Raw genomic sequence first — 15759 nt, forward strand, 5'->3', positions numbered from 1 at the left:
TGTAAGACCTCCACACTACAGAGAGCTAGTGGCTAGAACCCAGCAGGAGGGAAAATAGGTCCTGAGAAGAGAGGATAAGGGAAGCTAGTCTTTCTTTTCTTTTCGAGACAGTTTCACTCTTGTTGGCTAGGCTGGAGTGCAATGCCACAATCTCAGCTCACCTCAACTTCTGCCTCCTGTGTTCAAGCGATTCTCCTGCCTCAGCCTCCCGAGTAGCTGGGACTACAGGTGTGCACCACCATGCCTGGCTAATTTTTGTATTTTTAGTAAAGACAGAGTTTCACCATGTTGGCCAGGCTGGTCTCGAACTCCTGACCTCAGGGATCCACCTGCCTCAACCTCCCAAAGTGCTGGGATTACAGGCGTGAGCCACCGCACTCGGCCTAGACTTTCAAGTTATTGTAATTCAGCACCCATCAGGCCCAGGCACATCTGTGTGGTTTACATGCATTCTTTCCTCCTTTAACCCCTTTGGTGGATCAATGAGGGCATAGGGAGTATGACAGTGACAGCTAATCTGGACACCACTGAGGCAGTTCTGAAATCTGCCAGTTGCTCAGAATTAACTGGTTGGGGACGACCAGCCTAGAACACAAACAGCTGCTGCCATAGTCCCGGCACAGACTTCCGACTAGTGCCTGGGACCTGCTCCCCAGCCCTATTGGGCAAACAGATCTCCATTTATTAAGCAACCAGTTCTTTTCCAAAGTGCTGATAACTGCAGCTGGAATCCATATGCTCTTTTTATTTTTATTTTTTGGGATGGAGTCTTGCTCTGTCGCCCAGGCTAGAGTGCAGTGGCACAATCTCAGCTCACTACAAGCTCTGCCTCCAGGGTTCAAATGATTCTCCTGCCTCAGCCTCCAGAGTAGCTGAGATTACAGGTGTGTGCCACCACACCAGGCTAATTTTTGTATATGTAGTAGAGATGGGGTTTCACCATGTTGGCCAGGGTGGTCTCAAACTCCTGACCTCAGGTGATCTGCCTGCCTGGGCCTCCCAAAGTGCTGGGATTACAGGTGTGAGCCACCACGTCTGGCTGATATACTCTTGAGCCCCTACTGGAAAAACATGGAAGAGAGAGAAAGGAGAAAATGAAAAAGGGAGGGAGTTAAAGTAGGAAGAAACAAAGGGAAGAGAAGTAAGGCAGTCAACTCCGTGACGATACTCATTCCTTTATTGTCAACTGCATTGATTGGAACAGGGCTGGGGCCTGCAAGCTGCTGGCAGCACCCAGCTGCAGGTGCATTTCAGCTCAACAGAAAGGCCTCCATCCGAAGCCAAGGGGACAGAGGGGAATGTTTTATATATATATTTATATATTACATATGTCCCGTATAGTCATATGTGTAGAGTGACAAGAATGGGCCACTGCATTGTTAATTGTTGTCCTAAATAAAGACCATAGCAACACACGAGAATTTGGTCCTAATCAAGGCCCTTACTTTGTCAATCAAATATTTGATACACCAAAAGGAAAAGGAGAGAAAGAGAGACAGAGAGACTGAGATCCAGCCACTCCTGGTGGCCCTGTTCCCAGCAGATCTTACACTGAGTGTAGAGTGTCCCCTGTGGAGGTAAACACGCACACAAACACGCACACACATACACACATACACAAAACCGCAGGCAGGAGCTCCTCCTCCGACCATACCTCGGGCCCAGCCCTCGGACTGGGGGGGCTGATTTGGGTATATTGTGCTATAAGACTGTGAGGGAGGTGTGACAAGACAATGCAAAGGCGATGTGTCCAAGTGATGAATGAGGTGATACGTGCTGCTTTGTCCACAAACGAGAAAGAGGTCAGTGGGAGAGGCTGCTCAACGCAGCCCTGGAGGTCCCCCTGCGCTCAGGCCACCTGGTGAATTTCTACACACAACTCCTGTCCCAGCCACAGTCGAACCTCTGATCTGAATCCTGAGTCTCAAATAATCTCTTGGGCTCTGATGAAAATTGTGATTTCCTGGAAGGACAGGAGCAAATGGCAAGTGGGTGGCTCAACCCTCTAGTCCAGTAATGAAGCAGAAATGACAGTGTCGCTGAGTTAAATCAGACCCAAGCTTGATCCTCAGAGCAGAACTTGAATGATGTAAGAAGGGTTCATTTCCTGAAGGAAAGAGAATAACCCCCGCCACCACCTCCCACACCCCCCATTTCAGGCAGATCTGTCAGTCTCATGGTTTCACCCCAACGACAGCACTCTTCATATTCTAGGAACTGGAGACTCACACTATTAGGGCACTTTGAAATCCTAATTCACTCGCTTGCTTTCGTTATGACCTCTTCACCCGTCCTCCAAAATATACACTTAAAAAGCCAGTCAATGAACATTAACCATTTTTTTTTGTAGAAATTTACTTATCACTTGAGATACCTAGAGACATTTTGGGCCATCACAAAGGAAGGTAAGGAGTATCCCCCTAGGAACCAATTTGCGTAACTAGTGAATAAAGGATCTATTTTCAACAAAATAATACCTTAAAGATGCAATTCAGAAACAGGGGTAACAGGCAAAGCTGGAAAAGATTGTGCCTGGGCTTCTGTTTCCTGTGACAGATGAAGGGAAAAAGCAATAGATGTTAATATCTTCGTTTAGCGAGGGGTAGAATGACATTGACTCCTCCCACTGTGAACGGGGTCTAGGCAGCTGCAGGGAGAAATGATCGAAGCAGGCAGGAGCAGCCTCTTGAAAATGGGGAGTTGCCTTGAGAGCCTGTCGACCAAAATGACTCCTCGGAGGGGACAGAAACAAAGGAATCCAGTGGAGGGACTTCCGTTGATGACTGTTCAAGTTGTCTCAATTGCTGTTCCATTTCCTGCAGGTTCCAAGGCGATGGTAATTGCTTGGTCCACAGTTCCCATCCAAGGTGGGCAGAAAGCAGAGTTTGGGAAGCTGTGAGTTCTTGTCAAAGCTGAAGGGCATGAGCTATGTTGGTGAGGTTATTAATGTCCTTGAAAAGGAGCCCAAGAGGCTGAATGAGGTTGTCTGAGGCTCAGAAAGTGGAGAGTGGGGCTGTGTCCACGGGGAGCAGATGCCCAACACTGTCAGGATGTCTCTTGTCCTCAGGGAACACCAAGCAGTCTCCCAGTCCCAGAAAGTGCTCAGGGGCTGCTCGCCATCAGTGTGGGAGAAGATGGAGGTTATGGAGTGCGGTGGGTAGAAAAGGGACTGTCTTCTCAGGCACTGGCTACCTTCCCTTCTGGAGGCAGCTGACAGGGGGACAAGCCTGAGATCTGACTGGGGGAGCTCTCAAGTCAGAAGAAAAAGAGGCTACGCAGTGACCACGGTAGGCCCAGACGGCTCAGGCGAGGGCATCTCCCCAACACGAACAGAGCTCCGCGAATAAATAACATGAATTAAATAAAGGAGGCGAAGAAGAGCAGGCAGAGGCACCATCTGCCAGATTCTCACCCCTGCACACACGCACACGCACATGCACGCACACGCACACGCACCAAGCGGCAGATGAGATGAGCCAGGGTTGGCTGCCCCATCCCAGGAGTCTATTGGATGGGCAGCCTGACGTGATGGTTGTCACTCATGGTCCGCCACTGTTGCAGGGCGCAGAGAAGCAGAGGCCAGGGAGGCATGTGTGGTGGAAGGTGGAGGCCGCTGAGGACTCTGGCACCTGCAGGGGAGATGACGCAGGCGAAAGGGGAGGTTAGGGAAATACAGGAAACAGGAAAGTGGGTCCTCTCCTTTGCCCCATCCTGTTGCTGCAGGAATCCTTCTGACATCCCCAGTCACCCCTTGCCCTTCCTGCCCTTCGGGTACCAGCAAAACCCTCTTTAGCATCACCCAGCGCCTGCAGTTCCCCTGCCTCCTGGGTCCAGTGCTGCCTGGGACCATGGAGGTACTGACCAGGATCTGGACTTTCGGACTTTAGACGTGGAAGGTCTTTCCAGAAAGCTGTCCAATCGCATGAGCCTCTCCATGTGTAGCGCACGAGGGTCTTGTTCTTGGTCGTGAGAGAATTCCATCTCAAAGACAGCTGGAGGGGACACATCCAACTCCAGAAACATTATGTTTTCAGCCTGTGGTGGGAATATCATGCCAGGCTTGAACAGTGCCCAGTCACTGTGCCTTCTAGGGACTCAGCCAGTCTTGGGTGTAGCAGGGCTGATGAGGTGGTTAGGGGAAGCAGAGGCTGTGAGCATCCCCTCCCATAGGCTCTTTTTTTTTTTTCTTCTGAGATGGAGTCTCACTCTGTTGCCCAGGCTGGAGTGCAGTGGTGCAATCTCGGCTCACTGCAACCTCCACCTCCCAGGTTCAAGCAATTCTCCTGCCTCAGCCTCCCAAGTAGCTGGGACTATAGGCACCCATCACCACGCCTGGCTAATTTTTGTATTTTTAGTAGAGACAGGGGTTCACCATGTTAACCAGGCTGGTCTCGAACTCCTGACCTCAGGTGATCCACCTGCCTCGGCCTCCCACAGTGCTGGGATTACAGGTGTGAGACACCTCGCCCGGCCTCCCTCCCGTAGGCTCTTTCTCCCCTCTCCGCTTCTTACCCTGTACCTGGGGTGGGACCCCATTGCCATGGCAACCCGAGCATACTGGCTGATAGGCCTCTTGTAGCCCACTGCAGATGTTGGCCGCTTCTTCATCTGGCTGCTACTGCTGTAGGAAAGAGGCTATATTAGAAAGGATTTCTGTGGAACACAAACAGCAAATGACATCATGAGGACCTAAATATCATTCAGGTAGCTAGGAGGCCCTGCAGACTGCAAGTTCTGGAATTTTCTTCTCCTTGCTCTAATACAGCTTGACAACTGAAGCTAGTGCAGTTGTCCCCCTCATCCGTGGTTTCGCTTTCCACAGTCTCAGTTACTGTGGTCTGAAAATAGGCAAGTACAGTACAATCAGATGTTTCGAGAGACAGACACACCTGCATCACTTCTATTAGAGTATATTGTGTTTTTGTTGTTGTTTTGAGATGGAGTCTCACTCTGTCACCCACGCTGCAGTGCAGTGGCACAATCTCAGCTCGCTGCAGCCTCCACCTCCCAGGTTCAAGCAATTCTCCTGCGTCAGCCTCCCGAGTAGCTGGGATTACAGGCATGCACCACCACACCTGGCTAATTTTACTTTATTTTATTTTTTCTTTTTTTGAGACGAAGTTTTGCTCTTATTGCCCATGCTGGAGTGCAATGGCATGATCTTGGCTCACCACAACCTCTGCCTCCCGGGTTCAAGTGATTCTTCTGTCTCAGCCTCCCGAGTAGCTTGGATTATAGGCATGTGGCACCACGCCTGGCTAATTTTTTGTATTTTTAGTAGAGACAGGGTTTCTCCATGTTGGTCAGGCTGGTCTCGAACTCCCGACCTCAGGTGATCCACCCACCTCAACCTCCCGATGTACTGGAATTACAGGCGTGAGCCACCGTGCCTGGCCTAACACCCGGCTAATTTTTGTATTTTTAGTAGAGATGGGGTTTTACCACGTTGGCCAAGCTGGTCTCGAACTCCTGACCTCAAGTGATCTGCCTGCCTTGGCCTCCCAAAGATCTGAGATTATAGGCATCAGCCACTGCACCCAGCCTTATTAGAGTATATTGTTATAATTGTTTTGTCTTATACATCTCATGTACCCCACAAACATATACACCTGCTATGTACCCACAACAATTTAAAAAAATTAATAAAATTTAAAATAAACCTCATAGCATATATAGGGTTTGGTACTAGCTGCAGTTTCAGGCATCCACTAGAGGTCTTAAAACGTATCCCCTGCCAGGTGCAGTGGCTCACACCTGTAATCCCAGCACTTTGGGAGGCCGAGACGGGTAGATCACCTGAGGTCAGTAGTTCGAGACCAGCCTGACCAACATGAAGACACCCTATCTCTACTAAAAATACAAAAAATTAGCTGGGCATGGTGGTGCATGCCTGTAATCCCATCTACTCAGGAGAGTGAGGCAGGAGAATTGCTTGAACCTGGGAGGCGGAGGTTGTGGTGAGCCAAGATCACGCCATTGCACTCCAGCCTGGGCAACAAGAGCAAAACTCCATCTCAAAAACAAACAAACAAAAAACAAAACAAAAAAAGTATCCCCCATGGATAAGTGGAGACTACTGTGTAACACAAAGAGGTACATATTAATATTTCTTCACTCCTGTTGCTTTAAATTGTTTCTGCAGTAGAAAGGACTGATTGAAGGCTGAAATGAAATCCAGTCTCACTTTAGCTTGTAGCTTTATATACTTTTTTTTTTTCAAAGTCTTGCTCTGTCACCCAGGCTGGAGTGCAGTGGTGCGATCTCAGTTCACTGCAACCTCCGCCTCCTGAGTTCAAGTGATTCTTGTGCCTCAGCCTCCTGAGCAGCTGAGATTACAGGCAAACACCACCACACCCGGCTAATTTTTGTATTTTCAGTAGAGGACAGGGTTTCACCATGTTGGCTGGTCTCGAACTCCTGACCTCAAGTGATCTCCCTGCCTTGGCCTCCCAAAGTACTGGGATTACAGACGTGAATCACTGCACCTGGCTGTTTTTTTTTTTTTTGAGTCAGAGTCTCACTGTCACCCAGCCTTCATTGTGTGTTGTTTCTTCTGTTTTGTTTTTTTTTTTTTTTTTTGGAAACGGAGTCTCGCTGTCACCAGGCTGGAGTGCTGTGGCACAACCTCGGCTCACTGCAACTTCCGACCCCCTGGTTCAAGCGATTCTCCTGCCTCAGCCTCCCGAATAGCTGGTATTACAGGCGCATGCCACCACATCCAGCTAATTTTTGTATTTTTAGTAGAGACGGGGTTTCACCATGTTGGCCAGGATGGTCTTGATCTCCTGACCTCATGATCCGCCCACCTCAGCCTCCCAAAGTTCTGGGATTACAGACATAGGCCACTGCGCCTGGCCGGTAATTTTTAACTTTTAGTAGAGACAGGGGGTTTCACCATCTTGGCCAGGCTGGTCTCAAACTCCTGACCTCAGGTAATCCTCCTGCCTCGGCCTCCCAAAGTGCTGGGATTATAGGCATGAGCCACTCCACCCAGCCTATTTTTCTTCATAGGAGTTAGCATAATAAAATGGTTAAAAACTCAGGCTTGAAATGAAAAGGAACAAAGTTAGAAGCCTCACATTTCTCAGTTTCAAAACTTATTACAAAGCGCCAGGTGTGGTGGCTCATGCCTGTAATCCCAGCGCTTTGGGAGGCCGAGGCAGGCGGATCACCTGAGGTCAGGAGTTTGAGACCAGCCTGGCCAACATGGTGAAACCCTGTCTTTACTAAAAATACAAAAACTAGCTGGGTGTGGTGGCACACACCTGTAGTCCCAGCTACTCAGGAGGCTGAGGCAGGAGAATTGCTTGAACCCGGGAGGCAGAGGTTGCAGTGAGCTGAGATCTGGCTACTGCACTCCAGCCTGGGTGACAGAGTGAGACTCCATCTCAAAAACAAAACAAAACAAAACAAAACAAAACAAAACAAAACAAAACAAAACTTATTACAAAGCTATAGTAACCAAGATACTATAGAACTTGCATAAGACGAACATATAGATTAATGAAATAGAACTGAAACTCCAGGGCCAGGCACCATGGCTCATGCCTGTAATCCCAGCACTTTGGGAGCCCAAGGCAGGTGGACTGCCTGAGCTTAGGAGTTTGAGACCAGCCTGGGCAACATGGTGAAACCCCGTCTCTAGTAAAATACAAAAAATTAGCCAGGCGTGGCAGCATGTATCTGTAATTCCAGCTACTTGGGAGGCTGAGACAGGAGAATTGCTTGAACCTGGGAGGCAGAGGTTGCAGTAGGCCAAGATCACGCCATTGCACTCTAGCCTGGGTGACAGAGTGAGACTCTGCAAGACTCCGTTTCAAAAAAAAAAAAGGGCAAAGGATCTCAATAGATATTTCTCAGAAGATATACAAATGGTTGATAAGCACATGAAAAGATGTTCAACATTATTAGTCATATAGGGAAATCTAAATCAAAACCACAATGGTGGCTGGGTGTGGTGGCTCACACCTGTAATCCCACCACTTTGGGAGGCTGAGGCATGTGGATCCCTTGAGCCCAGAAATTTGAGTCCAGCCTGGGCAACATAGCAAGACCCTGTCTCTACAAAAAATACAAAAAAAAATTAGCAGGGTATGGTAGCACACACCTGTAATCCCAGCTACTCGAGAGGCTGAGGTGGGAGGATCACCTGAGCCTGGGAGGTCAAGGCTGCAGTGAGCCGTGATCATGTCACTGCACTCCAGCCTGGGTGACAGGGTTAAGACCTTGTCTCAAAAGAAAAAAAAAAAACCCACAATGGATACCAGTTCAGATCCACTAGGATGACTATAATTTAAAGACAGACAGTAACACATGTTGGTGAGGATGTAGAGAAAATGAAACCCTCATACACTATTAGTGAGAATGTAAAAAAAAAAGTTAAACATAGACTTACCATATAACCCAGCACTTCCACTACTAGGCATATACTCAAGAGAATTGAAAACATGTATTCATATGAAAACTTGTACACAAATGATCATAGCAGCATTATTTATAATAGCCAAAAAGTGGAAATTACCGAAATGTCCACCAACTGATGTGTTGATAAACCAAATGTGGTATATTCATAGAGTGGAATATTACTCACCAATACAAAGGAATGAAGTACTGATGAGTGTTCCAACATGGACGAACCTTGAAAACATTTTGCTAAGTGGAAGAACTCAGTCGCAACGGACTACATATTGTGTGATTCCATTTACATAAAATATCTGGAATAGGTAAAGCCATAGAAACAGAAAGTAGATTGGCAGTTGTCTAGGTCTGGGGAAAGGGGTTTTGAGGAGAATGAGGAGTAACTGCTAATTGGTTCAGGGTTTCTTTTTGGAGTGATGAAAATGTTCTGGAATTAGGCTGGGCGTGGTGGCTCATGCCTATAAACCCAGCACTTTGGGAGGCCAAAGTGGGCAGATCACTTGAGGTCAGGAGTTCGAGACCAGCGTGACCAACATGGTGAGACCCTTTCCCTGACAAAAATACAAAAATTAGCCAGGGGTGGTGATGCATGCCTGTAATTCCAGCTATTAAGGAGGCTGAGGCAGGAGAATCGCTTGAACCCGGGAGGCAGAGGTTGCAGTGAGCCGACTCGCACCCCACTGCACTCCAGCCTGGGAGACAGAGCGAGACTCCATCTCAAAAAAAAGAAAAAGAAAGAAAATGTTCTGGAATTAGATAGTGGTGACGGTTGTATAACTCTGAATATACTAAAATCCACTACATTATTAAGCAGTAGAGCTAAAAAAAAATCCACTGAATTGTACACTTTAAAATGGTGAACTTATGATAGGTCAACTACATCTCAACAGAGCTGTTATTTAAACAATGAACAAACAGGCCAGCCTCAGAGACTCATGCTTGTAATCCCCACGCTTTGGGAGGCCGAGGTGGGAGGATCATCTGAGGCCAGGAGTCTGAGGCTGTAGCGTGCTATGATTGTGCCAATGAATAGTCACTGCACTCCAACCTGGGCTACAGAGCGAAGATCCCAGCTCTAATTTAAAAAAAAAAAAAGTTTATGGCCAGGCGCAGTGGCTCATGCCTATAATCCCAGCACTTTGGGAGGCCGAGGTGGGTGGATCACCTGAGGTCAGGAGTTCGAGACCAGCCTAGCCAACATGGTGAAACCCCGTCTCTACAGAAAATACAAAAATTAGCCGGGCATGGTGGCTCACACCTGTAGTCCCAGCTACTTGGGAAGCTGAGGCATAAGAATCACTTGAACCTGGGAGGCAGAAGTTGCAGTGAGCTGAGATCACACTGCTGTACTCCAGCCTGGACAACAGAGTGAGACTCAGTCTTAAAAAAAAATAAATAATAAAATTTTAAATGCATATTCTTTGACCCAAATTTCTCCTCCTAGGAACTTCACTAAGCAAATAATCAGAGGTAAAGAGAAAAATTTACATGCAGGGGTATTTGCTGAAGCCTTTTTTTTTTCTATAGACAGAGTCTTGCTCTGTCACCCAAGCTGGAGTGTGATGGCAACATCATAGCTCACTGCAGCCTCAAATTCCTGGGCTCAAATAGTCTTCCTGCCTCAGCCTCCTGAGTAGATAGGTCTACAGGCAGGTGCCACCACACCTGGCTAATTTTGTTATTTTTTGACAGGGTCTCACTCTGTTGCCCAGGCTGGTTTTGAACTCCTTGCCTCAAGCTATCCTTCCACCTCAGCCTCCCAAAGTGCTGGGACTTTAAGTATGAGCCACTGTGCCTGGCCCTGAAGCATTATTTACAACTGCAAAAAATTAGAAACAACCAAAATGGGGTTGGTTAAATTATTAGGACCCAGTTACATTACTATTCAGTCCTATGAAGGAACTTTATGTAGTCAATAAAATTTTTATGTGGCTCGGCCGGGTGCAGCGGCTCACGCCTGTAATCCCAGCACTTTGGGAGGCCAAGGTGGGTGGATCACGAGGTCAGGAGATTGAGACCATCCTGGCTAACACGGTGAAACCCCATCTCTACTAAAAAAAATACAAAAAAAAAAAAATTAGCCAGGCACGCTGGCACACACCTGTAGTCCCAGCTACTCGGGAGGCTGAGACTGGAGAATCGCTTGAACCCGGGAGGCGGAGGTTGTAGTGAGCCAACATCACGCCACTACACTCCAGCCTGGACAACAGAGTGAGACTCAGTCTCAAAAAAAAAAAACAAAACAAAACAAAACAAAAAAATTTGTGTGTGGCTCTACATACATGCAGAAAGACTGCCACAATATATTAATAAAAGAGCAAATAAAAAGATGAAGTTTTTGTTTGTATTTTTAAATTTTTTGTAGAGATGGGGTCTCGCTATGTTGTCCAGGCTGGTCTCAAACTCCTGGCCTCAAGTGATCCCCCAGCCTCAGTGTCCCCAAGTGTTGGGATTACAGGCATAAGCCAGCATACCTGGCCAGTTTTAAGGAAATGCGTGTGTGTGTGTCTGCTTAGGAAAAAGTCTAGATATTCAACAAAATGTTGACAGTTATAATCTTTGAATTGTGTGATTATGGGTGATTTTTATTTTCTCTCTGCCTTTCTGCAATATCTCAAAAATTTTTTTACAATGAATATGTATAACTTTATACTAATTAATTAGTTCAAACATCTACAGGAAATATGTATCTGTATGCCTGCCATCCAGTTTTGTAAAGAATGCTGCTGTGAACATTTCTAAAGGTATTTTCATGCTTATATTTAACATTTTCCCTGGGGTATGGATCCAGGAATGGAAGTGTTGCATTGCAGGGTATGTGGATTTTCAGCTTTACTTGATATTGTCAATTGCTTTTCAAAGTGATTACACTTATGGAAGTTTCCATTGGTCTACATCCTAGAGAGCTCATTGAGTGCTATTCACTTTCAGCAATTTGGTGAGTGTGATGGATTATTAAAATACTTTTACTACCCTGAACAAAAACAAACAGAAAAAAGAAAGGAAAGAAAACAAGAAAGCTACTTCCATTTAAAAAAATAAAAGAACACAGGTTTTGGAGTAAGGCAGACCTGGGTTTGAATGCTGGCTCTGCCCCTTCAAGCTCTTTTACTTGGGGAAGTGGCTTACTATCTCTGAGCCTCAGATATATCATCCCTATCATACAGAATTTCTGAGATTAAACAAGACAAGCACTTAGCACAGTACACCTGCCACAGGGCTTAACACATGGCAGCTGTGATTATGATTTATTTTCAATTCCACTTGCTAATTTCAAGTGGGGATACAAATGAAATGAGCAAGGATAAAAGTCAAAAGGCGACAGTTGGAAGAGGAGAAGAAACAGGCCGAGTAACTCAAAGCTTAGGACATTCTGTCCTTGAACAGCAGAACAAGCTGTGCAGGGGCCCACAGAACAATGGCTGCCTTCTGCAGCTGGCAGTGATGGGAAATAACATTCTTGTGGTTTAGTTTATGATGCATATAAAAAGGTGCCGTACCCCATTAGTGGTCCCTGCTGACCCTCTCTATAGATGAAAACAAGGAAAGATAAGGCTCCAGAAGCCCCAGCTGGGTCTGCAGCTGAGCTTACAGGATGCCGGGAGGCGTGCCCGTGAGGAGAGGCAGCCTCAGTGGCAGTGGCAGCAAGGAGACAGTCCTGCTGCAGACGCTGCTGGAAATGCAGAGCCATCCCCTCTAAGAGGGGAGTGGGAAAATTAGGAAAATGGCAACTTATTTACAACGTGCTTCTACACAGTTCATCTGAACTTAACAACCTCCGGAGGTGTGGATAGAGCAAAGAAGACTGAGGCTCAGGGAGGTGCAGCGCCTTTTGTGTCCAAGGTCATGCAATTAGGGAGAGACTAGGAATCTGAATCTTCCCATATACTCCTTTTAAAATTATTATTGGCCAGGTGTGGTGGCTCACGGCACGCCTGTAATCCCACACTTTGGGAGGCTGAGGCAGGTGGATTACCTGAGGTCAGGAGTTCAAGACCAGCCTGGCCAACATGGTGAAACCCGGACTCTACTAAAAATATAAAAATTAGCTGGGTGTGGTAGCATGCACCTGTAGTCCCAGCTATTCAGGATGCTGAGGTGAGAGAATCACTTCAACCTGGGAGGCGGAGGTTGAGTGAACCGAGATCATGCCACTGCATTCCAGCCTGGGTGACAGAGCGAGACTCTGTCTCAAAAAAAAAAAATTATTATTATTTTGTGGCTGGGCACAGTGGCTCACACCTGTAATCCCAACACTTTAGGAGGACAAGACAGGTGGATCACCTGAGGTCAGGAGTTCAAGACCAGCCTGGCCAATTTGGTAAAACCCCCTCTCTACCAAAAATACAAAAATTAGCTGAGCATGGCACATACCTGTAACCCCAGCTACTGAGGAGGTTACTCAGAGAATTGCTTGAACCTGGGAGATGGAGGTTTCAGTGAGCTGAGATCGTGCCACTGCATTTCAGCCTGGGCGACAGAGTGAGTCTGAGTCTCAAAAAAAAAAAAAAATTATTTTGTGAAATTTTTGAATCGGGCAACACCTCATTCTATGCCACAGGGTGGGGGTTCCCCCCAAGGACTCTAGTATCATCTCTCAGGAGGACACTGGGCCAGAACAGATGGGCCAGTGAGTGCCTTTGAAAGCTCAGGCGCTGGGAACAGGACAGAGGGACAGGGCTGGGTGAGCAGAGGATCAGCGCAAATTGGCAGCCTGACCCAATAAAGATGCCAGGGCTATTCTGGGTGGCATGTGGGAGAGAAGGGTTGGGGGAAGGGAGTCTGTAATTGGGGCACCGACCTTCCCATCGGCTCCCTCTTCTGCCCCAGGCCTACTTTCCATGATTGATCCTCTGTAGGAAGCAGGTTTTGGCAGCCCGGAGCTGAGGCCTGGGTCTGCGTTTATGCACCCCTCCCTTTAAGCACCCCTCCCAGCAGGGCCCCACAACCACAGTTATCCTGCGTGCAGTACATCTGACGCGTTCTCCTAGGACCCTCCCTCCGTAATTGGCTACTATCATTTTTTCCCCTTTAATATTAAAAAGTCATCTCTCAGCTCCATCTCAGGGGTTGACATCATTCTCTTTCCTGGCTGTTTGATCACTTCCTTTCCCCTCTCCTTCCTCTCCTTCCTTCCTGCTCTCCCTCTCTCCCTCCCTTCCTCACTCTGTCACCCAGGCTGGAGTGCCGTGGCAAGATCTTGGCACACTGCAACCTCTGCCTCCCAGATTCAAGTAGCTGGGATTACAGGTGACAGCCATCACATCTAGCTAATTTTTGTATTTTTAGTAGAGACGGGGTTTTGCCATGTTGGCCAGGCTGGTCTCGAACTCCTGGCCTGAAGTGATCCACCTGCCTTGGCCTCCCAAAGTGCTGGGATTACAGGTGTGAGCCACCGCGGCTGGCCTCCCCCTCTTGTTCTGAAAGCAGGCATCCGACATCATCGGGTGTGTTTCCTTCTAGTTCCTTCCTGTGCATTCAACACTGACAGTCAGGCTTTCCTCTTCGATCTGGCTGCTTTCTCCTGGTAGGCCATCTGTCCACCTTGTTCCACTGCCCTGCTTGTCTGAACTCTCAGCCTTCCCATTTCCCCTCCATGCTGTCCCCGACCCGCCTGGGAAGCTGCAACTGCTCCCTGCTTCACACTGTCTTCAATTCTCACAGGTCTGTGAAGAAATCCAGGGACTCAACGCAGAGCTAGGAATGTTCTTACTGGGGTGAACTTTGCCTCTGTGACAAAACCAGTTTAACTTTCTTTCCTGATTCTATTTATAGCAAGAAACACTCTCTCTTTAAACCCAGAGGCAGAGCCTGGGTGAGGTGGCTTACACCTGTAAGCCCAGCACTTTTGGGAGGCCGAGGCAGATGGATTACCTGAGGTCAGGAGTTCAAGACCAGCCTGGCCAACATTGAAACCCTGCCTCTACTAAAATACAAAAATTAGCTGGGCATGGTGGTGCACCCCTATAATCCCAGCTACTCAGGAGGCTGAGGCACAAGAATCGCTTGAACCTGTGAGGTGGAGGTTGCAGTGAGCCAAGATCGTGCCACTGTACTCCAGCCCGGGTGACAGAGTAAAACTCTGTCTCAAAAAAATAAAAATGAAAATAAATAAATAAATAAAATAAACCCAGAGGCAGTTTAACAAAAAATCAACATCTAAAACAAAAACATAAAGTCAAACTGCCCTTGTAGGGCACTTCTAAGGGATAGAGCAGGCCGGTTTCTCCAGAGTCCCCATAATTAGAATATTGGTTTATCAGTGTGAGTGCAACTCTTCATTGATCATCTCCTCCGCACCAGGCACAGGCCTGGAACCTTACATTATTTCATTTCAACCTTGACAGTCCTGCAAGGTACATATTGTTATCCCCACTTTACAGATGAAAAAATTTGGGTTCAGAGAGGTTAAAAAAACTTACTCAAGGCCAGGCGCATGGTGGCTCACGCCTGTAATCCTAGCAGTTTGGGAGGCTGAGGCGGGTGGATAACCTGAGGTCAGGGGTTTGAGACCAGCCTGGCCAACATGTTGAAACCCCATCTCTACTAAAAATACAAAAATTAGCCAGGTGTGGTGGCGTATGCCTGTAATCCCAGCTACTCTGGAGGCTGAGGCGGAAGAATCGCTTGAACCCAGGAGTGGGGGTTGCAGTGAGCTGAGATCACGCCACTGTACTCCAGCCTGGGCGACAGAGTGAGACTCCATCTCAAAAAACAAAAAAACAACAGAAAAAAACTTACTCAAGGCCACTAGTAAGTGGCAGAGCAGGGGCTAGAATTCAGAATGTTCTTTTTTTTTTTTTTTTTTTTTTTTGAGTCTCGCTCTGTTGCTCAGGCTGGAGTGCAGTGGTGCGATCTCAGCTCACTGCAACCCCCGCCTCCCAGGTTCAAGCGATTCTCCTCCTACCTCAGCCTCTGGGTAGCTGGGATTATAGGCGCCCACTACCACACGCGGCTAGTTTTTGTATTTTTAGTAGAGACGGGGTTTCACCATGTTGGCCAGGCTGGCCTCAAACTCCTGACCTCAGGTTATCTGCCCGTCTCAGCCTCCCAAAGTGCTGGGATTACAGGCGTGGGCCACCACACCCGGCCAAATTCAGAATGTTCTAAATCCAAAGTCTAGTCTCTCTCTACTGCACCATGATGCCTTTAAAAAGAATCTAGGGGCTGGGCACAGTGGCTTACGCTTGTAACCCAGCACTTTGGGAGGAGTTCACTTGAGCTCAGGAGTTCGAGACCAGCCTAGGCAACATAGTGAGACCCCCGTCTCTACTAAAAATGAAAGCAAATTAGCTGGGTATGGTGGTCCATGTCTGTACTGTGGTCTAAGCTACTCGGGAA

General features: G+C 47.6%; 1 protein-coding gene across 2 annotated transcripts in view; it reads right to left on the bottom strand.

The window, feature by feature from the left end:
• Positions 1-1155: 1155 nt before the first annotated feature.
• The window catches only part of KIF3C (kinesin family member 3C), a 55900-nt gene continuing 41296 nt past the window's right edge, over positions 1156-15759 (bottom strand). Inside the window, exons 6-8 of one of the 2 annotated variants that reach the window (XM_005264299.4) lie at positions 4513-4618; positions 3863-4035; positions 1156-3629 (exon numbers count right to left, since the gene is read on the bottom strand). In XM_005264299.4, coding sequence (XP_005264356.2) covers positions 3536-3629; positions 3863-4035; positions 4513-4618 — 373 coding nt within the window. In that variant the 3' untranslated portion in view covers positions 1156-3535. Of the gene's footprint in view, positions 3630-3862; positions 4036-4512; positions 4622-15759 lie in introns of both variants that reach the window. The other variant, NM_002254.8, reaches the window with a different exon arrangement.

The sequence above is a fragment of the Homo sapiens genome, chromosome 2, assembly GCF_000001405.40.
Source record: "Homo sapiens chromosome 2, GRCh38.p14 Primary Assembly".
NCBI lineage: Eukaryota > Metazoa > Chordata > Mammalia > Primates > Hominidae > Homo > Homo sapiens.